This window comes from Homo sapiens, chromosome 2 (assembly GCF_000001405.40).
Source record: "Homo sapiens chromosome 2, GRCh38.p14 Primary Assembly".
NCBI classification, from domain to species: Eukaryota; Metazoa; Chordata; class Mammalia; order Primates; family Hominidae; genus Homo; species Homo sapiens.
The window spans coordinates 161,949,532-161,974,928 of record NC_000002.12 but is presented as its reverse complement, the minus strand read 5'-3'; the positions used below and the strand labels follow the sequence as shown (position 1 = coordinate 161,974,928).

Genomic DNA, 25,397 nt, shown 5'->3' with positions numbered 1-25,397 from the left:
ACTATATTGAGAGGGAGACAGAGAAGAGAGAGAGAGGGGAGAATTCTGGGCCAAATGCTTGCAAATGTTTTCTTTATAACTTCAGTAGTTTGCTTTCTTTTGCTATGTCTTTGTACATAAAGAAGATTAGAAAATTTTGGAGAATTGCATAAATATATCCTAAAATGACTGATACAACTGAATCACTTAAGAAATAGATTATGTCATTGGAAATTCCACTTTTAGCGGCAAATTCCCAGAGTTAAAACATTTACCTGTGATCAACTTAGTGAATAACTAGTCACTTATACAAAAAAGGAACCTTGATCTGTCTTCTGGTGCTACTTTCTGAGAATATGAAAGGGATTTTTCATACACATTATAAAACAGGAGCAAGAAAAACTTCAGACAACAGCTTCCTGCTTCACTTCATTTAATGCAATTTGATTATAGTCACACGGCTATTATTGGCAAAACTTAGCAGTAGGACCCATGTTATCTAACTCTTCGTTCTTTCTACTCTTATACAATTTCAAGAAACCTCTCTGAGGATCTACACAGTATGAAATTCTTAAAGTATATAACAATGCATTTCATTACTTTAATTGATGTGTTTTTAAATTTATGTCTTACCTATAGTGCCCTTCCAATGGGAGTTGTACTGTGCCCTCATCTTCCATAGCTAGCATACTTTGTTCTTCCTGAAAAGACAAATGTAAAGTATATAAAGTGAACCTGATGAGTCTCCATTTTACATTAAAGAAGAAACACAGATTAATGTTTCATTATCTCATTAACCTCAAGACCTTCCACTCTGTTTGCATTTATTAATGTTAGCACAGGTCCTTTCAATAAAGTATCAGCTACCAAGAACATAAGTAATTAATGAGAGTCTCATAACACAAAGTAATTTAAATGCTAACAACAATCTCCTTCATGTCACTCAATAAAAAACATGTTAATTTCCAAGCATATTTTTTAAAAATTAATCTAAATTTTATAAGAAAAAAGTATGGGTGATATAATCAGTTTTATTGTTATAAAGGTGAAATTATATTCCCAGAATGCTCTATGAGGAGAGGATGAGGGATGTACTCAGAACAGTGTTTCTCAAACTTCAGTTTACATCGGAATCCCCTGATGGGCTTGTTAGCAATATCCCCCAGAAGTTCTGACTCCATAGGTCTGGAGTAGAGTGGGCATAAGAATTTCCAGTTCTAACAAGTTTCCAGGTGATGTTGATTATGCTGGTCTGGTGACCATATTTAAAGAACCACTACTCTAGAGAGTTGGAAAGAGACAGTAGAAGATATTAATATCTTCCTGTATGGATCAAAACACAGATGTGTCTTGAGAGAGGAGGAAATGGAAGGTTTGACTCCATTTGGATGTGTTTTAGGCTTTTGTTTTATGCTTCAAATTTCTTCTTATAATGACAATATTCCATCTTTCCTCAAAGGGTGGAAATGATTTTTATATTTATACATGCATTTCTTCATACATAGGATTTTAAAACTAAATCTTTGGGATGAAGATAATCTTATGGCCACCATACTGGAAAATTCTGGTTTCGTTTTCAAATAATGTTATCATCAAACTTTTTCCATGAAACAAAAACAGAAAGTTATTCATAGATTATAGCTTTTATTTAATACATTTATTTAAAAATGGGTCAGTTCAAAGAAATACTTCAGGCCATTTAAAAATGTTAGAATTATTGGTTCTAACCCCAGAAATGGAATTTTAAGATGTATAAACATAAAAAACTAGTTGACCCCCTGCCCAAATGGAAACTGATGAAAGAAAAAAGGGATGGCCCTGAAGGCTCATTTCCTCTTTCAGTAGCTTAGCAGGGCTAAGCTGGCCTGACCCAGCTTCCGGAAACACCTTGACCTTTGGCTGATTTTATTATTCCTGGCATGCAAGACTTTTCCTAGTGTCCTTGGTAAACAGACCTTGGCCCGCTCTCAGATATCCCATAGTCTGAATATTCCATGCCACATTTCTTGCTACCTAAAGAAACAAGTGTTTTCTAGTGCCTCTTCAGCTAACCTATGAAGATACAATGCAATGTGGGAGCAGATCTCATTTCTCTCTTGGAGTACTCTCCCATGCTGGCCAAGGAAAGCCCCTCTCTGCTGGGACTTCTGCTGTGGTGCATACAGAATCTCTGTGCCCACCCTATGATTCGGGATAATGGAGATGCCAGAGACTGCATGAGCTCTGCTACTTCCCTGCTTAGAAGCTTTCCCCAGAAACTCTATATTGTATTTGTTTTCTGTGAGGCTAATGGCATGTACATTACCCTTTTGCATTCCAGTAACTAATTTTATTTTCTCTCTTTGCTGTTCTTCAAGGAAAAAATTTTCTTTTAGGGCCTATCAAATGTATTCTACTTGTATATTATGCCTATTCTCCTTGTCACTTGGCCACACTATTAGAACTAAATCAAGGTGAATGGAGATTACCATTGGTTTGAAATTACTCATTCAAGCATTTTAGCAGAGCTGATCTGCAGCCTAGATTGAGGCTTGCCTTACAGCTGAGTTAGTCATAATATATGAAATATATTACATGCATAATATATATTGTAGGCACATCCTGGCGGTCAGGGGCAGAGCATATGTATCATTTCAGGTAGAAAAGGTTCCTTTTTCCTTAGGAAAGGTTATCTTAAGGTACATGGAGGTTCATAAAAAGTAGACACTCAGTGGTACCAAAAGCTACATTAAGTAAGACAAGATAGGAGAAAGATGCAATTCTTTTCTTGGTTGCCCACTGAAAGGTGAAGCCTGGTATATGATATCATTTCTGGCCAATCAAGAGTAAAATGTCAAGAAGCAAGGTAGAATGGTTTAAGAAAGAGTAAAATGCAAAAAAGCTGAAGAGAAGAACAGTGCCGTCAGTGCTTAGGTTACCTGGCAGCAGAAAACGAATGTTCAAGATTCAATCTAACAGCAAAAAATTGGACCAAAGCTTGGGAAAAATTTTGTTTTTTCTTCAGATGATTTTCCACTTTTCTCTCAAATTGCTTTCAATAATTATTTTGCACTCTGTGGCTTGTTAGCATGTGTGGGCTTTATACTAGTCATAATTCTATCCAAACAAAAACTCATCACCTCTAAAGATAGCTTTTCCAAGCCATGCTTATCTGAAGAGAAGGGTGGCAGAGCAGCCGCTGCCTTCAGTGCCAGAAGGAAGCTGGGTGGGCCCCGGAGCGCGGGGATGGAGGGCCGGCTGCATCCCGGCAGCACTGTGAGAAAGCCAAAAATTGAGGCTTTCTGAGGAGGAGCAGTCAAATCAGGCAGTAGCCGTCACGACAGCCACAACCTAGGTTATCTCAATCAGATCAGAGAAGAAAGAGACAGCGAGAGCATAAAGCTAACTGAGTAGTTGCCAGCTTAGAAGTCAGAAAAATACCTTAAAATGAGTTCATTCAGCTCTTAATTTACATAGGACCCATTAAAAGCATGCTGGGTTCTACAACATGGGGAAGATGTTACAGGGATGATGATGAAAGGTAGAATAATACATAATACCCAAGAACCTTTGAGAGAGTTCACTGATTTAACTAGAGGGACGTTTATGCTATGATTTAAATGCCACCTTTTAATTAAGACAGCCAAAGCAGTTTTCAGATATAAAATAAGTGAAGGACAATTAATGCTATGTCCAGTACAGGACAAGAAAATTGAGGCTTAGAAAAACAAATCTACTCCAGAACACTCAAATATTTATTGAGCATGTATTATGTGCTATGCACACAGTTAACAAGAAGAATAATCCAGGGGCTATTAATTAATCCATTCAATGGCAGGTAGTCTGTTAGGTACTAGGTATGTAATAATGAAAAGAAAGCTATAAACTTGACTCTCAGAAAATTTAAGTGATCATTATGAAAAGTACCAAAGTCAAGGTTGTAGCAAGGAAGAAACTCCAGGTGGGAAGAAACTCCAGGTGGGAAGAAACAATGTAGGCCAACCATAAAATGAGGAATAAATAAGATGTGTTTGCATGACAGTGAACAACGAGCTTGGCTGGAGCCAAAAGTCTGTGCTGAGTAGAGGCGGAAGAGATAAATTGAAGTCAAATCCTGGTGTGGTTTGATAACAGGGTGTTATATATCGAATTACATCATGAGTTTGAATTGTATTTAGTGATAGCATTACAATTATGATTCATATATCACGATACCTAACAAATAACAAAGATAGTTATCCTTTAATTACCTTTAGTGAAATAGGTTCATTTACAACTACATCCATTTTCAGGCAAAGTGTGTATCTATGTAGGAGCCCTCAAATATCTTAAAGTACAAACAACGGCAACAGAGACCAATATTCACGAATATGCTTAGAGTGTTAGAGAGGGAAAATATTCAGCAATTTTAGAATTCACGTCTTAAGAAATGGAATACTCTTCAGAAATCAAGCTCAATCCTTTTATTTTGCCCAAGAGTAAAACAAAGTCTACAGAAAGTAGAAGTGTCAAACCATTTTCTTCCTCAACTACTAATAGAATAGACAATGCTGCAAACATTACATAAATATATAATCTTTGAAAACCATAAGTGTTATTTTTATAATAGGTATTACTTATGATTTCCAATGGATAGAAGAGCCAATACATAAAACTAACAATGAGAGTGGAAAAGGAAAAATGGAGAGTCTATATAGAGTTCATATCAGTACATAAATGTAACATATTTTTCATCAGAATATTAGATTCTGTGTCTCTAAGTAATCATGTAAATTATTGTAAGTAAAAAATTCTGATAGAGTATCCTTGTATTTAGAAGACTATATTTTATTCTGTGGTTTTAGGAAAGGACTTATCTCAAACTTTAGCACCAGAATCACCCAGAGGTCTTATTAACAGAGATGGTTGGCCCCATCCCCAGAGTTTTGATTCAGTAGGTCTGAAGTAGGGCCCAAGAATTTGCATTCTAGGTTGCCAGGTGTTGGCTGATGTGGCAGTGGTTCTGGAACCACACTTTGGGCAACCACTGCTTATGGAAGAAGAATATGCTTGCCCCACTCTAAGATTCAGCTAGAAATGACATTTGTCTGTGTAATAATTTGGCCATGCTTCCCAAATCCATAACCAATTCTGACCTATCTTAGCAGTAAGTCGTCCTCTGTAATTTGTTTAGTTGCACTTGTTTTTAGATTGCTTTTTTCTTGACCTTTTTCATGATCCTGCATTGGGATCACAGGGTCCCATTTGCCCTCTTTTTGTTTTCTCCTATAGTGTATATGTTAAGAGTGAAGCCCCAGTAAATCAAGAAGTATCACTATCATGATCACTTCCACAGAGTAGAATTTCTAGGATTTATCCAACACTAACCCCCTTTCCTCCTACCCAGGAGCAAACATTCTGCTGGGATTTTCTGCCTTTAACAGTAAGTAGCCTTTTGTCAAATGTGTACAATGGCCTAGAGAATATTTAAGTAGGAAGGAAGGCATGTTGGTACTCTGAGCACATTTGGACATCCAGAATTTGATTCTGCAGTCTTCCCTTTACACAGAGCAATGTGCAAAATGTCAGGGTTCCAATATTCATTTCTACCCTGATTATAATCCTTTCTTTCTAAAAACTGAAGCATATGCATATGCATATGCATGAAGTACATGAAAATTTGGAACAGAAGCTCTGCGACCTTGGACTGGCCTGTGTAGCTATTTATTCTGCTTAACTCATTATTGAATTTTAAGGTCAAATGAATGTTTTCTCAGTGCCATAAGACCAGAAATGGGCTACTGATAGGAAAACCCTGGAGGCTAAAGGTAAAAGCTTGTATCTATCATCAAAAGGACAAGAGGTGAGCCTACTTTAAATTCAAGTCTCAGGGAGCTGAGACATTTCTGCTATTTACCATCTTGCCAGTTCATGATCAAAGTTACTCAATTAATTTGAGCAATTGCAGAAATGCAACATTTCTGGAGAACTTGTCCGTTTACCACCTTAACACACAATCTCTTAGAAGACTGGGCCTTAGTATAAGATGCCACAGTAAGATCACATCCTTCTACTGAGTCTGTAAGCCTCAAGAAAATAGAATACCAAGATCCGGGCAAACAAATCAACCAGGAATTTAACTTTTAGTATAATTATTCCTAAATCTTCCTAATGTCTTTAGTGACCATACTCTTTTAATACTAATTCTAAGCTAGAAAGCGAACCTCTTTAAACTTCCTATTTTCTTTCCTGTTCGATGGAGAATTAGCTGTCTTTGCACTAGTCAGAGCTATATTTTATTGTTCAATTATAGATTATTTCTTGACTGTATTATTGATTTTCTTGTTTCTTTCCATGTACTGAGGATCACATGAAAGTATCATCATATTAACCCATCTGAGATTTTAAGGATCTATAAACCTGCCTAGTTAATGTACTGCAAGGCTTTTCCCTCTAACTTGGATATGAAGGATTTAGCAGTAAAATTGCCCCAGGAAATCTTTAATCCATTTTTGTATCTTTTCAGAAAGCATGAGTTCTAGGAAATTTAGTGCTATTTAGTTACTTTTAAAATCTTTATCTTCATAATCAGAGAACAGTAAATGCCCATTAAAGTACAGTGGGTATATAATATAAAAAGATTAGACACTGATTACATATGTTCTCTGCCCTATGAGATTCATAAATTCCAAAATGGGCATATGGCACACACACATATAAGTACCATACATGCATAGCTATGTGAGTGGTTCTGGGCAGTGGGAATGGCAAATTCTAATAAATTTACAATTATTATTAAACTTGTTCTCTCCTGTTTCACAGAAAATAAAAGGAGAATCTGAAATTATCTTTGAATCACAGTCACAGAAATATTAAACATTACATAATAGATTACATATCATTTTTCATTTTGTGAACTTCTAAAAGGCAAGAATGTTTCACGGTATGAGTATGATCTAAGGAGAATACTGTGAAAGAGATGATTATATGTCTGGGGCTGTGTTCGTTTTTTTTTTTTCCAGAAGCAGTAAAGACAGTTAACAAAAAAAAGCAGAAAAATAAAGCAAAATTAGATATGTAAGTTACTGCTTGAGTATAATTAATAGTACAATAAGTGCTCACATAAAGTTATTGATAGGTTCTCGGAGACTGTGACATTAAGAATAAATAAAACCAATTTTACCATAGGCTAATTGATATAAACAAGAGTTAAATTCCTATGGCAATATCTGGTCACAAAAACATCACCAAACTTCTAACTAAAGACCCAAAATGTTTTTAATATTAAACATTGAAATAAATGTGAGCTATACAAACATGTAAGAAAAGTTAATAAAAGCAAGTAAGATATTGAATTACCAAATTTCTGGTGAGTGAGAGAGTGACTGAGGCCATAGTAGGGGTGGATTAAATCAGGAATAAATGTTTGCAAAGTGAAAATTGTAAGGAGCACATCTTACCACCAAGCAGTTCAAAAACAATAGCAAATATGGCTGGGTTCACTGAGCATTTTCATACCAAATTGTTGTCGTACATTTGTGTGATTATCGTATACTTGATGAATTTTTATTTTACAGTCATTTGTATTCATTTATTCATTCCTTTTCCAACCCACTTATTCCAGTTCAAGGTCGAGGGTGGCTGGAGCCTATCTTGGCAGCTCAGGGTACAAGATGAGAAATAAGACTGGCCAAGACGCTATTCCCTTGCAGCACACACTCACACACACACCCACATTCACTCACACTGAGCCAATGTAGACACGCCAATGAACCTAATGGGCACATTTTGGGGATGTGGGAGGAAACCGAAGTGTCCAGAGAAAACCCACACAGATATGAGGAGAATGTGCAAACTCCCTACAGACAGTGGCCCTGGCCAGGGAATTTTTTTTTTCTTTTCTCATCAACATTATAACAATGCTATATTATTCAAGGGTCTGCTGTACTGACATTATCAAAAAGACTGAAAGGCAAGCTCACAGCCAAGAGCTTTTTCATCAAAATTAAATTAATTTAAACCTTCTTGGGTGTTGTGTTTGATCTCAATAATTTTATTTACATCAAATATAGATAACTTAAGATTTTAGAATTTCTGTGTTCTAGTGTCCGTTTTATTTAAATTTAACTTGTGCCAAATTATACCATATTTTCTTGAAGAGTATCTGAGGATGAAAGCAAACGTTTACTAAAGGCCTAAAAAGAAATAGAGACTATCAAAATATCCTAGTCAAAGTTTTTTGTTTTTTTTTTTTTTGAGACGGAGTCTCGCTCTGTCACCAGGCTGGAGTGCAGTGGCTCACTGCAACGTCCACCTCCCGGTTCAAGTGATCCTCCTGCCTCAGCCTCCTGAGTAGCTGAGACTACAGGTGTGCACCACCATGCCCAGCTAATTTTTGTATTTTTAGTGGACACGGGGTTTCACCATGTTAGCCAATATGGTCTTATCTCCTGATCTCGTGATCTGCCCGCCTCAGCCTCCCAAACTGCTAGCATTACAGGCATGAGCCACTGCGCCTGACTCAAAGTATTATTTTTTAAAAAAGCACTAATATTTAAATAAAAATATATCAAACAGAAAAATAAATAATAACAATTGTATAATATCATTTTTTGTGTTAACATTAATATTACTAGAAGTATGAGTCTAAGTATTGCCTTCTACAATATTTGGAAAAATTGAAACATTCTTACAGGATTAAGACACATCATCATGATGAATCTCTATCTGTGGGAATCCATTGTTAGTGATAGAACACCATGTAGAGTAAGGGAATTACCAATTACACATTACGTAACCATATTGGTATAAATTTCTGAGAAAGAAAAAACCTCATTTGATTTATGGCCTGATCTGACCTCATTAAATGACTAAGACCTCTGAAACATCTGCAAATGAATTCCCCAAAGGAAATAGGAAATATATCTATGGTTTGAGGAAATAGAAAGTTGAATACATTTACTGACTACTTATAGAGAAAAATAGTATAATTCTCATCAAATATTTTATTTCAATCTCATTTCTATTTATGTGAAAACTTTGTTGTGTTTTACATTGTATGGGCTCAATCATCCTGCTAAATGTTACGCTAGTTATTTTTCCCTCATTTACACTCTTTGTAGTTTTTATATACTTAAAAAAATGTTGATTAAGTGCTTTCAAAATAGACTCAGGCTTACATATAAACTTTAAATATGCCACGAAACTTATAATACATTGTTATACCATATAAAATAGAATAAAATAAATAAGTAGCCTGTAAAAATAAATTCCAGAAGTTTCTGCAACATCTACTCAATCTTAAATCACTTTGAAAGCAAATCAGATCAACATTTTTCCTACTAAACATTTCACCTATTTCAAGAATAAATAATTATTCATTAGAATATTTTGATTAAAACTCTGTTCCCTAGGAAAATACCAACAGTAATAATGTCTCTTCTTTTTGTTCTCACATATGTAACAAAAAAACAATCACTGCATGATCATAATTTGGAAATAGTTAAGTATTAGCAAGTTTCTGCCATCCATAGGAGAGGAATCAGAAAAATGAGCCTTACAATTTGGAGGGTATTTTAGTACAAAGTATTTCCATATTTCATTAGGATTTGGTTTCCTCCTATAAGATCTTCATTCTCTCTCTGTTCAAATCTTTATGATTTTAAACATTAAACTTCCAAACTAGTCTACTTGTGGTTGTTAGTGATCACTGTCTAAAGACAAAACTGTCTAAAGATAAAAACAATAATTTAGTTTTGCAAAGAAATATTACTATGTTCCTTTTTTCTTTCTTTATAAAACATTGATTTTGCTCTTACTTCTTTTTCAGCATCTTCCAGTTTCTTTTTCTTACTCTCGGGCATCAAATCATCCAACCAGCTGAGTTCCCGCTTCGTGAACAACAAGTCCATCAACTTTCTTACAAATACCAGGGCTAACACCTGAAGTAAATAATAAACTAGTTTAAAGTGGAAAAAAAATTAAAACGAGAGGTGTAGATTTGCCTGTATGGTTTTTGGTAGAAACAATTTCTATTAGGCCTGAGATTAAAGTAAAAATTAAAGATATATATGTATAAAACATTGTCTAGTCTTCTGCTTCCTTCATTTTCTTTTCTTACTACATCACCACAATAATGACTATGATTTTAACCAATATGGGAGTCTATTAAATAAGCTATTTTAAAAAACCTATAAAATGTATTTGACTATGTTTCCTTAAATACATGTAGTTAATAGTTTATACTATATTAAATGAACACGAGAACATTCTTATCTATACTAATAATTATGAAATTATTTAGTCATTCAAATTCACTATAGTTTTTGAAGTATTTGAAACTTGCCTGAAACATTTAATACAATGTTATTTTAAAAATCCTAATTTTTCATATTTGCTAGTATCTTTAATGTTAAATTTTGGAAGAATGCATTTTTCCATCCAGCTTCAATTAATTCAGACTACCACAAACATTCAGAGTGATAGAGACAAAACTAATAGGAATCACTGAAATTCATAGGCATTCTTAAACCCTATCTTAGTCACACTTTCAGTGCCAAAACTTATATTTTCCAATAATTGTTCAAAATGACTCTGTTGTTCCAGTTTCAATTCATGTGTTTATGTTTCCAAAGAGACCAGCAAATCAGAGAAAGAGAAAAATAGTTGACAGAAGTTTCATACCATCATGGGAAAGACAATAGCAGCTCTTGAAACTTTTATTATCCACAAAAGGCCAAGGCAACTCATCTGAATAATTGTGAAGAGATGCACTTTTCGAAGCGGTACGTGCCTTAGGTATATAAAATCTGGTTGATGTTTTGCCGGCATCCAGAAGAGCTTTATCCTATCAAAGAACTAAAAGATTAAACAGACTAAATTGTTTTTAGGTGTAAGACAACAATAAAAGTAGGACAAGTTGATGTTTAATATGGTCCACAATTTTGGGTTAAATGACATACCTGGATAACACTAAGTTGATATCTCGGCATCAAGACAATGGGATTGTTATGCTTACCCTCTGAAACACTACAATTTCAGTTAAACAATAGCCCACATTTTCTTGAATATGGAGACGGGTTACAATTTAGAAGAGTTTAAAAATAGAAAGCCAATGTTAAATATTGCTACCTTGAAGAGTGGAGCCCTGTGAAGCAAAACATAATTAACCATCTTCTTTTTCATTGTCACAACACAATCTCTTCCTTTATTTGCCCCTCAACATTGGGATTCCTGGACTCTCATTCTCTGTTTTCTTTTCTCCTGGAATAGTTCATCCATACCCATGGCTTTGACTTTCACAGACTTGCTAATGATTCACGGACCTACGTCTCTGCCTTAGCTCTCTCCTGAGTTCTAGACCCTTATCCAGCTGCTAAGTACGGTATTTTAACCTCCTTATTTTGACTCTGCTGTTTTGACTTTGTCCCTTTAATCCCCAACAAAAGTTTAGATGCTGTCTTTATGGACACAAACATCTTAACCATAAAAATTTAACCTAAATAAATTTTGTTAATAAAGTATGTTCCAGAGCAAATTTTGTTAACTCTATTTAATTTCTTGATTAACTTTATATACAGCACTGTCACGTCATTTATATATTTTCAGTTGTATTTTATTAAAATTATTTTCATCTCAATCAATGTTATTTGTTTCAATCTTGCCATAAAGATAGTACATAGTATTACATAACACTATTGTTATAGTACTTCATACTATTATGTTACAGCTTTGACTTTGAGGGCTTTTTTAATCAAGCAAACCAATTTTTCTTTTTTTGAATTTTATAAATTAAATGCACACAGGAAGCTTAAATCTTTAATCACATTTTATTTACTAACAAATCATACTGCATGATAGTTTTATTTTATATAGATTATTTGGTTTATTGTTCTTCGGCCAATTTTTGCAATTTTCAGTGTTTCCAACTAGAGGCGATTATTTAGAAAATAATGGTTTCAATCACTGTCAGTCACTGTTTTATTTCATGCCATCTCTACAGTAACATCCATTATGCATTTTCAAAAAGTAATATTAGATTTTATTTCTTAACTAACTTATTTTAAAAACTGTAGGCAATTCTCATCAAATGTGTCATATTAATATGCAAAGGAACAGTTGTCCATTGAGTCAAAATGTTAGAGTCAAAACACCCTGTTTTACCAAGACCTGCTTGTATACATAATAGGAATCTCAAACTCAACATAAACCTATCTTCCCTTCTGTGTTCTATGTCTTATGGCATGACATGGCCTTCCTTTCCTCAGTTATCTAAATAAGAATCATACATATATTAGTTCATTCCCTGACCATTCATTTATTCATATTCATTTATATATTCCAAAAATATTATTGAAACATTCTATGCAGGCTACTAAGTGCTGAACTCATTCCTGAATAATGTCTCTCCATTCTGTCCATGTACATGTCATTAAGTTTTAAAATTTCTATTTCCTAAATATTATTTAAACTTAAAAGTCATTAAATAAACAAAAACTTGGTGCATGGTAGAGGTAGGAATAGGAAAGAAATAAAATAAAATCTTCTGGCTTACAATGGAATATTTCCTTTTCTATAGAACTAGTTTTTCCCAGCCACCATTTCTCCATTTGTGAAGCTATGTTATTGCATAAGTGTACTTCAGTGTGTGGGTGCTTCAATTGTTATTGTTTAAATGGCACATTTGCTTTACTTTGGATTCCTGAAGTGTTGGAATGAATATAGATGTGGGTATATATCTGAATGCAGAAACAGCATTCATGAGAACACTGTGATCTGTTTTTTCTGCCATGTTTCACAGTGAGAAGCCCAGATAATAAGTTTCTTAATATTGCCAAACAAGCAGGTAACATAGATTCCTTCAATAGGGTAAGACAGTAACGTGCTGCTGGAACTGATTATATTTAGCATATGTTTAAATAATAATCATCATCATGATAAATGTATTCTGAGTTTTACATTTGGTTTTTATTATATCCTAGTATCAATATCACATTTCCCCACCCAGTTAGCTACAATTCCAAATAGGAATTTCAGCTGCCTGCTCTTGGGGCTCACTTAAATTTTCACGAACACTGTTTCTCAGTGTGAGACCCTGTTCATCAACATGTGCCCCAGATTGATGTTTCATTTGTGTTCTTTAAAACTCATTATATTTAACTCATGGGCTTTTGATAACGTTTTCTTCAATTTTCATTTAAAAGATTCACACCCCAAATAATTCCAAAACTTGACGTTCTTGTTCAATTCTAAATCTCATGAGTATAAAATCATGTGGAATTAGAGGAGAAAATCTGTTGAAACCTATCATCAAAATGATTTTACATTGTTTCTTAAACTCTGCTGCTGTATTTATGTGAGCCTGGGGCCTAATAATAAATGCTTTTCACTTACAGATGAAATTAGTACTCATGGAACTTTTGCCAAAGGCAAAAAAAAAAAAAAAGGGAAAAAGAAAAACAAATAAACAAAACCTCTTCCATATTCTTCCCTAATGGCTTACTAAACAAATTCTATCAAACTACACTTTTCATACATGAAATTTTAAATGAGCAAATTAAATCTAATTTGAGTAAAATTAAAACATATAACATGGCTCAACCATCTCCCTCTCCCAGTTCATTTTTCCCAGTGTCAGGATGAAGAGTCAGTCATACTATCAACTTTGGGTGTTCCGTGACCTGCAATGACTTCATACTTAAGTTTCCCCCAGACTGGCAGCCAGTATTGTCTTAAGGCCTAAGTTCTGCTTTTTCTCCCAAAGTCAGAAGCTGGTTAGTCATTTGCTCAGGAACAGAGATCCCGTGCTGCCTGTCCTGCAGGTTAACTATTCTCTTATATGCTATGAACATCAGTGAGTCTAGCTGTGTTATAGAAAAAGCTGCAATTTATTTTTGCTTTTCAGTTGACAAAATACTATATGATGAATAAGTCTCTAGTCTCTTTTTCAAGAACATTGGAGTGTTGGGCTAAATAATGTTAAATTATAAAACAAGACTTTTCAAGGGACAATTTAAGTAGAAATCTATTAGTTTGCTAGGACTGTCCTAACAAATTACCACAACTTGGTGGTTTAAATCAATAGAAATATATTCTTCCACACTTGTGGAGGCCAGAAGCCTAAAGCAAGATATTGCCAGGGCCACACTCCCTTTGAAGGTCTTAGGGGAGAAAACTTCCTTGCCCCTTCCAGCTCCAGGTGGCTCCTAGCACCCTTGATTTATGGCAACAAAACTCTAATCTCTTTCTCCCTTTTTTTTTTTTCTTTTTTTTTGAGACAGAGTATCCCTCTGTCGTCCAGGCTGGAGTGCAGTAGCATGATCTCGGCTCAATGCGATCTTCACCTCCCGGGTTCAAGTAATTCTTCTATCTCAACCTCCTGAGTAGCTGGGATTACAGGCATGCACCACCACACCCGTCTGATTTTTGTATTTTTAGTAGAGACTAGATTTTGCCATATTGGTCAGGCTGGTCTCGAACTCCTGACCTCAGGTGATCCACCCGCCTTGGTCTGGCATTAGAAGTGTGAGCTGACCGTGCCTGGCCTTCCTACATCTTCATATAGCCTTCTTCCCTGTCCTGTGTCTCTCTGTGTTCTCCCCTCTTCTTTTTTTTTTTTTTTTTTTTTTTGAGACAGAGTCTCTTTCTGCCTCCCAGGCTGGAGTGCAGTGGTGCAATTTCCACTCACTGCAACCTCCGCCTCCCAGGTTCAAGCAATTCTCCTGCCTCAGCCTCCCAAGTGGCTAGGACTACAGGCGCCCACCACCATGCCCAGATAATTTTTATATTTTTAGTAGAGATGGGGTTTCACCATGCTGGCCAGGATGTTCTCGATCTCTTGACCTCATGATCCGCCCACCTCGGCTTCCCAAAGTGCTGGGATTACAGGCATGAGCCACACCACACTCAACCCCTCTTCTCTTCTTATAAGGACCACAGTCATTAGATTTAGGGCCCACCCTAAATCCATGATTATCTTGTCTTGAAACCCATATCTAATTACATAGGCAAATAGTCTATTTCCAAGTAAGGTCACATTTTGAGACTCCAGGTGGACATAAATTTTCAGGAAACACTCACTATTCAACCAATAACAGTATCATCAAAGAAATACGTGGGAAGAATTTGCCTACAGCTTCTGTAAAAATTTAGAATACACTTGTGGAGGTTTTAAAATGTGTCTACAAATTCTTTGATACTCTTCTCTTCAAGAGATAGTCTCCCTTTTCCCTTCACTTGGGTGCAAGCTGGACTTAGTAGTGGATAGCCTCTAACAAATAGAAAACATGGAAAGACCATGTATGACTTTGAAGACTAAGTCAAAAAGCACTTCATCCTCTTTCTCATTCTCTTCTCTCCTTTCTCCTCTATCTCTCTCTCTCTCTTTTATATTGCTCACTCTGAAGGAGTCACATTCCATGGTTTGAGGACACACTAAGGATTCCATGGAGAGGCCACTGTGGCAAAAGACTGAGTCATCCTACCAACAGGTAGAAAAGAACTGATGCCCTCATGCCCACAGTTGTGGAATAGCCATTTTGCAAGCAGATCCTCCAGCACTATCAAACCTTCAGATGCTGTGGACCTTGTCCACACCCTGACAGTGACCACATGGGACATCCTGAACCAGAACCATCTGGCTGATCTGTTGCCAAATTCATGCCTAAAATATTTATTTAACCAATACTTACTTAAATAATTCATAAAGTTCCCCTTATACTTGAAACTGCTTATATCTTTATTTTAGTCTAATTTTAAAAATAATCCTATAAATATAACAGTAAAACAAACAAAACAAGGGGGAAAACCCCCGGGATATCACTATCTCAACAAATTGTTCTTATTTCTACACCTTCCTTCACAACCCAGCTCAAACTCATAGCTTTATAAACCTATGGTCAATAGTTTCTTACTTTGTATTATGTTGTAAGCATTTTTGCCATGTTACTTTTGTGGTTCCTATAATTATCAATTTTCAGTGAATATACCATAGGTTACCTAATTATTTGACTGCAGTTAGAGAATTGGGTTGTTTCCAATATTTTAATAGTATGTGTTACAATGAACATCTTCGTGCATAAAGACTTTTCCTATTCTTACCAATAGATGTCCATACACATGATTAAAGTGTCAAATATTATAAATATTTGGATATATATTGAAATATACTACTATGATTTTTCTAAAAATGCTGTAAAATCTAAGCCTCTTACAGTTTTAATATACTTATGATAAAGAAAAGTACCATAAGATTATGAACCTTAGATGCTGGAGAGAATCTTCTTTAACTTTTGTAACTCTGACAAGTTTGAAGAAATTTAATTGTGGTCTAAAAGCTGTTCCTCAGGTGGTGGCATTTTCTCAGCTGTCACATGACTTATCAGTAGACCTTAAGGTCAGTCATCACAGATGTGCCTGTAGTACTGTAAGTAATTTACCTGAATTCCCTTTAGAGATGAAGCACCCATATAAAGAAACACTCCATATAGCACTGGCATGGGAATAAACTGTAAAAGAACAATTGGAGAAAAGGCAGAAATCATTTTCAAATAGATTGTGGTTTTGCATTTATCAAAGAAAAAAACAGGGAAAAAAGGCATTTTTGAATAGAAACAGTATAGTACAGATTCAGAAGACAAGGATTCAAGTTCCAGCTCTAGCATTTTTAGCTGTGTAACCTTAGGTAAGTTACTTAAGCTCTCTGTGCCTTAGTTTCCCAATATCTAAAAGGAGATGATAACAATAGGGTTGTTATAATTATTTAATAGGTCAAAATCTATTTTTAAAAACCATGTAGTATATAATGAACAATAATATTATTATTATGCTACTTTGGAGACAACTTGAATTTTGCTTTACAAAGATAAGATATTTGGATTAAAGGTGGATTAAAAATGAAGCTAACATTTAGATGTGTTTCCTGTATTATACCAGGTATTTGTAAATATATGGATAATTCAGATTTTCTCTTTTTATTGGAATAGTTCACATCATCTTATGTCTATAACATAATTACTTATATAACAGAGATTAATTCTTGCAAAGGTACTTGTGTTAATGATCAAATACAAGTAAACTAGTGTAAATCATTAAATAATTTAATTAAAATGTCAAATTATAGGCAAATAAAATGTGTTGTAATTTATAGCGCAATTGACACACCTTGGAAATATCTGACAAAATTACATGACAAAATAATTACTAGTTAATCCTCTTAAAAATAGATTTCAAGTTTTGTGTGAAAAAAAAATCACTATATGCAATGATGATGTCCAGACAGTGGTTTTACAGAGCACTTAAAATGGAAAACTGCGTATGTGACTATAACCAGGCTCATCCCTTCACCTCTATCTCTTATTAATAGTAAGTAATATTAACTGCTAATATATTTATCCACTGACAAGAAAATAGAATCTTTATGAATGCCTGTAATGGATTCGGGTCACAAGTCAGTCAGAAACAATGAGTGACTTTTTCCCATAGCTTGATCACCGATTCAAAATTGTTACAATAATTTACTCATCAAATTTTACTTTGCCAGACTAAATTTTTATGTATTTAAGGGTTTTAAAATATAGGACGTAATTTCCCTCCCTTAGGTTATGAAGAATTATATAAACATGGTTCAGAAATTCATCACTTTCATCACATGCCACACAATATTTGCAAATTTATGGCTCAGATTCAAATGAAAATTTTAAATGATGATAAATGTATTCTTTCTCTCAAGTTCATAAAGACAGATTTTGTTACCTTCAGAATACTGGTCATAAAGACTGATGAACCCATAAGAATAAAAATCATAAGCCCAGTAACCCTTTGCTCCCGAATGCCGAGAAATTTGGGTTGTTCTCCTGGAGCTGAGCATTCTGATTCCAGTTTTAGGCTATTGACATGAGTGATGGAGAGGACTGTGGCAGCCACAAACCATGGCAGGCCCATGATGGAGCATACACCGAGCATGACAGCCACCATTAATAGGTCCAGATGGTACCCACAACCTTTCTGTTTAAAAAAGAAAGAAAGAGAGAAAGAAACTGTGTCAATAACAGGGCTAAGGGTGGCCTGATTGCGAATAGAAACCACTTCCTGATGATACTCAACAAGCCCTTCATATCAGATCTCCTGGAGTAACTCTTAAACAAACACTCAGTTTCCAATTGCCCTCGTTTGTCTCATTGGGTGACTTCTATTAGAAAAAATAATATCATGGAGCCTAAGCTCCCCTGTATAGTCATTTTCTCCTTAATATAGTGCTATCTTGTTCTAATTTGCTTCAGTTTCAGCACTAGACAAATTAAGCCCCTCCTTAGAAATCACGGTTTTTTGTTTTCTATTTCCTCTGTTATGCTACTCCACTGTCACTGATCTCCAGGTGTTGCAAACTAAGTGCCTCCTAGGACCAGGTAGGAAATGTAAAGGAGGAAAAATAGGTGCAATGGGGTGTGTGAAAACTGCCCTCTTGCACAGACAGGGTGCTCTCTGAGGAGGGAAATCAAAGATGGGGAAGAGCACTCCCTCCATACCCTGCAGGAATCGAAGTGTAGAGCCTCAGAAGCAGCCAAAGGGATGGCCTATTTTATGTTCCACCTTTTATTTTTAATTTTTAGTGACTGCTTTATGAGAGGCAGTATAATAAAGTGGTTAAGAATATAAGTTCTGGAGTCAGACTGCCTGGAATGAAATGCTAGCTCAACCAATAAATCACTTAAGCTCTTGTGCCTCTTTTTCCCTATCTGAAAAACGATGATGATGATAGTAGAAGGCACCTCACTGGGCTGTTGTGATAATTAAATTAGTTGATGTTGTAAATCATTTGGAATAATATCTGTTGAATAGAAAGCAATCAGAAAATGTTAGGTACTATTATATTCTAGTGGTTAAACAATAAATGTTTCTTTTGTACTCATTAGGTTTCAAGGCTCCTTAATAAAACTATTAATATGTTTCTTAAGATCAGATAACTTATATAATTTCTCAGTATTTCCTCTAGTTTTTAGCACAATCATTGGCACACAATAAGCAATCAATAAAAGTTACAAATTGACTTTTTTGAAAATAAAATACGCATCAAACATTTCAGAATCAAATTTAGTAAGTGTAATTTTAAAATAAATACAGCAGTTAAATTTGTTATTATGACCATGAGCAGAAATTACCAATTCTTCTAGGAGAATAATAGTCTTTTTTAGAGGTAGTTTTATATAACTTCAAGCAGTTTGTAGTCAGTATGAGAGCTCTTATAGCCTGGAGTGTGAAACACACTGAGTATTTGTTGCATATTTGTCATGGTAGTCTTTTCTCTGTGATTTTGTTTTCTTGTTTTCTTAGTAAGAAGGTTCTTAAAGTCAGTTGTACTTTCTTTCCTTTCTGCTCATCCTTTCCAAATTATAAAAGTGCAAGAGATGATAGTGAGGAGACAATGAGAGTTATGTGCCTAAGGACCTGTTCCTCCTATGTTGACACCAAAGCAATGGTACCCTTCATTGATTCAGCTTACTGGGGCAATACTACAATTTACCAAAATATCTAACTCAATTTCCTGAATGAATATGACTCTGGAAACTTTTCTTTGCAAGTAACTCAAGAAAGAATTTGATTAGTAAGAGTTGAAGAGTAGGAAGAGAAACTGCCTGGTGTCAGCATAACCAAAAAAGCATAGGAAACAGTTTTGCCAGGACCATAATATCATCCCTTGGCCCTTTTGCAAAACATTTTGGAAGATGTAATTCCATAGAATAGAACTCAGATTTTGGTCCCTTTAAAGGACAATGTCTTAAGCAGTTTGAGAAGTGTTTTGTCCTAGCAACTCTGGAGTGAGAAGGATGTAGAACAGGGAAGGACCTCATACTTAAGCCTCTGCCTCTGAGGGAGTACAATGTGAATGGTGCCCCCTTGGAGCTATTTTGCAAAATTATGGTACTGCTAAGAGAAATCAAAAGATGGAAGAGGAGCTGGTGGCTGTGAGATGAGCATCAGAGGAGGGCAGAAGACAGGGGGCCTTGAGAGTCAGGCTTGTACTTTTTAGCACACCTGGACTTTCTCAGAGTCCACATTCACTACATCTCAATAATATGAGGGAGATCTTTGTCGCGATAGTGATTTCCAATAGCTCTTATTGAATGTTTTAAAAATATGATACAAATGTAAACAGTGGGATTCTGAATTGCAGGAAGTAGGCAAAATAATTCTTTCAGAGGAAATAATTTCTTTTCTAAATTTATAAAGCTAGTTTTGTAATATATAAATATATAACAAAAACAAAAATATAATTTCCCCTAATTATGCTGTACAACAATGGCAGCATCTTGATTTAATGTAAACCAAAGGAAATAAATAAAGCAGTTCTTGCTCTTCCCCTAACTAACCAGTATCCTTCTTGCCTTTCATTTAAAATGTCTTTAAAAACTTGGACTTTGTAACAAAATTATTAGCTGATAGGCATGCCAGCCAAAGAGAAGTATCCCTTTGTCAGACAGAGAACTCTACACCTTCTAACATATTTCTGTAGATTTTTTTCTCAAATAAAGACAGAGCTAGAGCTTTTATTCTCACATTCATCCATGAATCACAGGAAATGGACATATGGGAGGAAAAGGGAGCATAGCAACAGGTGATGCTACACCAGACCCCACTAAAACCAACATGCAGCAAGACAAGAGGCCAGCCAAGAGGACCATCTGATACCCAGATGCCACTGCTGAAAAAATTCATTTCAAAGCTTGGCAGCAATTTCCTGCATCTGTCAAGTTAACCACATAAAAGACTATAGATTGACATGAAGAACCAGGCTGACAAAGAGGGCAAAAAAGAACATATCAAATGCCATAATCATCAAGAGAATATGGTGCCAAATGAATGTTGCAAATGCATTCATTTACTCAAGTGATCCGGGATTGTATTGCTGTTTATTAAAAATGATGTCAAAAGAAGCCTGAACTGTCTACAGAAACATGTAGAAAAGCCCACAGTTGTATCTTAACAGAAACTTTCTTTTTTATAAGATTTTATCTCTCTTTTCACATTTAGAGAATGTGCTTTAAAAAACCCAAGTAGATATTTTTAATGCTTTTCAAAAGGATTCAGTTAACTTATGCCTAATCCACTTCTCTAAGGGAGAAACAAACAAACAAATGCTAGAGAGAGTATGGATTTATATGTACATTTATGTATAATATACATGATACTTCACATTCTCAAATTTTTGTATTTGCCTCTTCTTTCACTCTGGAGCCATCCAAAGGATCATAGGATGCAATGAGTTCGAGGTTTACTGATTTTGAGCTCCCCCATTCTTCGGGAGTAGTAAGTCACCTATGCAGTGCAACACAGCTTTATTGTGTAAATAGTGACACTCATGAAATGATAAAAACATTTTTTTTTTTTGAGACGGAGTCTCACCCTGTCGCCCAGGCCAGGGTGCAATGGCATGATCTCATCTCACTGCAACCTCTGCCTTCCAGGTTCAGACGATTCTCCTGCCTCAGCCTCCTGAGTAGCTGGGATTACAGGTGCCCGCCACTACGCCCAGCTAATCTTTGTGTTTTTAGTAGAGATGGGGTTTCACCATGTTGGCCAGGCTGGTCTCTAACTCCTGACCTCGTGATCCACCTGTCTCGGCCTCCCAAAGTGCTGGGATTACAGGCGTGAGCCACTGTGCCTGGCCAATAAAAACATTTTTATCAGCAGGAGAAATATCATCTAAAAGAAAACCAGCTACTAGTTCTGGCAATAGAGGTGAAGAAAAAGTAAAAAGATCTAAAATATGTTTGGGAGAGATAAAGAATGAAATGAGGAATTCTGAGTTGACTTGGGTGTATGTAGACTTAGATACATGATGTGGAGTCTACCAAGTGTTTGATACATAAACTACAAAACATGATTCATTAAACAATTTCGGGGAATGCTCCAACCAAGGCAAAAATGGGTTTTCAAGTGAGAAAAGAAAATTAGTAAAAGCTGAAAATGCTTTCACAAGTGGTTAGCTTGTGGTCTGGTGATATACTCAAGAAACACATCTTTTAGTGAAAATGTGGTTCAAGTCAAAGCCAGGAGACTTTGCAAACATTTCAATGAAGCAACAGGCGGGGAGAAGGACTATGGAACAAACCGTTACTCTGAGTAAATAACATTCTGAGAAGGTGATTTTGTTGTTGTTAACGGGAAAACCAGTAGCATCAGACCACACTCTATAGAAGCTTATAGGAGACAAGAGTTATAGGCCCAATAGGGGTTCAATGTAGATGAAATACATCTTCACTGGAAGAAATTTGCTTTAAAAGTATTCATATCTAAGAAGGAGGATGGAGAGTTCAGATTCACAGTGGCCAAGAACAGGCTGACTCTTCTGCCTGTGGCCATATAGCAGAGTTTATGATTAAGCCAGATTTGCTGTATCATTTACTAAATCCAGAGTAGTAAGGGGCAAAAATACACAACTTTTGACTACATAATCATTTATTTGCACAATAAAACAGATTTAGTAATGTAGCCTCAGGTTTATTTCAGTGACAAAAATAGTTCTAGTTCTGCATTTAATTCTATAAATGCAAGTACTTGAAAGGACCACTTAAAGAATGCTTTACTACATTTTTGTTATTCCACAGTATATGTGAAGGGGGAAATTAGTGTATTTGTCAATGTGGAGCTTTACAAAGGCTGTGAATGTCAAGGGCTCATGAAGAACAAGGAGTAAGAGCAAGTGTCATGTGATTTATAAGGTTGAAAGGGCAAAGATTCAGAATGGCCAGGAAGGTAATATCAATCTCAGCACACATTTCACTTCCACACTTTGTTTTAATATGATTCCACTTACAATAAGAAAAAAATGCTGCCTGAATCCATTTAACTGATGGCCCTTACAGAGGATAATTTTTCAGTGAACACACTAGAATTTCTGCCTAATTATAAAGGCTAAAAAAATCTTTTTGAAAGGTAAATAATAATTATATGGCTTACTTTCTTCCTAAAACAGGTTTTTTAGTTGATTTTTTAAAATGTATCATTTAATAAAATACATAAAGTTGTGAGAATTCTTAACTTACGTTCTACAAAGAGAATGAAAAATGTCCTTTGCTTTAAGATAGACACACATTCTCTCCACCATATACTCAAAATTCCTTCTTCATAAGATTTATTGCAAATAAGTGTGCTTTCTTACATTTATGTAATTATTATTATTAAAAGTAATGGCAAAAACTGCAATTACTTTTGCATTGACCCAATATATTGCATCAGAGTTTAATCAGAGATATTTTTCATCTTTCTAACATTCCTATAAAAAAATTCTATAAAGCATGATTTCTGTTGCTCTGACAATGATTTTTTCTCCTAGAGTTTAAAGGGTATGTGAAAATAGCTGGCAACTACCCCACGATACCAAAACAAAAACAAGATTGTGCATGTTATGTTTTTACAAGGTTTGATGCAGATTATTTTTAACCATTTAATGATTTCATCGATTTTATTTAACATATTCCTGTAAGTAAGTGACAGTGCTTACATTACATATCTCAGGCAAATTGCATACCAGTGAACAATTTCGATTATTCACAATTGCAAAATGGCAAGGTCAGAATGTAACTAAGACACATCTATAGTTATTCTTTTTATAAAAGAGACAGTGAAATCTGCAATAAAACTCAAAGATGTCACTTCTAAACTGTGACGTTTATGTCTGGATTTTGTTGTTACAGGCAGACAGAAAAATAATTAAAGAAAATGAGAAATAGTTGAAGTTGTAATTTATTCTGATAATGAATTCAATGTAATAGATACATTTAGGGTTAAATAGAGGAATAGAGGAATCTCAGATGTAAGACAAGTTGGTATGGTTGTACTTCACCAGAACAGATTGTTATTTCATTAAAATATGTTAAGTATGGAAAAGTTAAAACTTTGACAGTTTTTTATTTTATGCCTTGGAGGTGAGTTCTCAGACGTGAGCTCAGCCAAGTGCTACAAATAAGTAAATTCTCATCTCATTGTAAGACCAAGTATCTTGTAAGACAATAAAAATTATACATCTAAAAACATTATTTTATATATTTCACTGTGCAAATGAATACAGAATATAGAAGTCAAATGAACATCAGTTGATATCAGTTGTCATAATTATTTACATTAAAATGGATGTTAAAATATACCTTTAGCTTATGCTCTTTCCTGTTGATGATGACAGCTGTAATCTGTTGGTCCATAAAAATTAGAATAGTACAAAGCAGAGCTGGAATTATAGCAGCTATTACTGTCCACCATGGGTTTGGACCTAAAGGCGTAACAAACCAGCCACGATCATCTCTAGTGGGCTGTATAAAGTAAAGAATGTGCATAGTTATGAACTGGATTAATGAATACTTGATCAAATTAGGTCTTACAGATGCTACTAGGAAAGCCCTAATTATAAACAGAGGAGCTGAGTGGCCTATAATAAATAATAATAATACTCATAAATCACTTAAAACCATTTTAAGTGCTTTAAATATTTTAACTCATTTTTTTTTTCTTCACAACACTCTAAAGATGACACAGATAAGAAAATTGAGGCACAGAGAGATCCAGTAACTTGCCCAAGATCCCAAAGCTAGTACGTGGTAGAGATGGGATTTAAACTCTGACAGACTTGTTGAAAAATCTGTGTTATTAATCAATACCTGTATTAAATAAAATGATATTAATATTTACTATTTACTATTGGAAAATGTATTGAAATTTACAAATAGCATATTGACACATTGACCACTGTGCTAGAACTGAGATACAAAGATAAATCAGAGGCTTCTTTCAGTTTAGAATCAGAGACAGACATCTAAACAAAATACATCATTATGGTATTGTAACTGTTATTTTTGATGTGCAGAGGCTATTGAGTGAAAATGATAAAAAAGATACTTGGTCACAGCAGAGGCTCAGGGAAGGATTCCAAACATGGCTGCTGTCTGAGATGATTCTCAAAATTTCATCCTGACAAGAGCCCTATATAGAAGTCCCCAGCCCTGTTTGACAGAGAAAACAAAGGGGTGCCCCTAATTTGAAAAGCTGAAATCTGAAATGATCCAAAATCTGAAACTTTTGAGCGCTCACATGATGCCACAAGCGGAAAATTCACACCTCACATCATGTGATAGGTCACATATATTATTAAGAATAGTGTATAAAATTACCTTCAGGTTATATGTATAAGGTATATATGAAACATAAATTTTGTATTTAGACTTGGGCCCCACCCCAAACATATCTCATTATGTGTTTGCAAATATTTCAAAATTTGAAAAAAAAATGAACTCTGAAACACTTCCGATCCCAAGCACTTTGGATAAGGAATATTCAAACTGTACCCCATTAGTAACACGGTCAGAATTCTATTCCCAATCTATTTTTATCTGTTTTCCAAGCCTTATTCACTGTACAATTCTGCCAAGATAATCCTTTTCTCTTAGTTTCAAATGCTTCCTTATCTTTTA

General features: G+C 35.0%; 1 protein-coding gene across 27 annotated transcripts in view; it reads right to left on the bottom strand.

The window, feature by feature from the left end:
• The window catches only part of SLC4A10 (solute carrier family 4 member 10), a 360,855-nt gene that overhangs the window by 10,342 nt on the left and 325,116 nt on the right, over window positions 1-25,397 (bottom strand). For all 27 annotated transcript variants that reach the window (NM_001354461.2, NM_001354447.2, NM_001354441.2 and 24 more), the window contains 6 exons: window positions 24,081-24,242; window positions 17,689-17,940; window positions 16,374-16,442; window positions 10,621-10,794; window positions 9,756-9,878; window positions 613-680 (listed from right to left, as the gene is read on the bottom strand). In NM_001354461.2, the coding sequence (NP_001341390.1) occupies window positions 613-680; window positions 9,756-9,878; window positions 10,621-10,794; window positions 16,374-16,442; window positions 17,689-17,940; window positions 24,081-24,242 (848 nt within the window). The remainder of the gene's footprint in view (window positions 1-612; window positions 681-9,755; window positions 9,879-10,620; window positions 10,795-16,373; window positions 16,443-17,688; window positions 17,941-24,080; window positions 24,243-25,397) is intronic.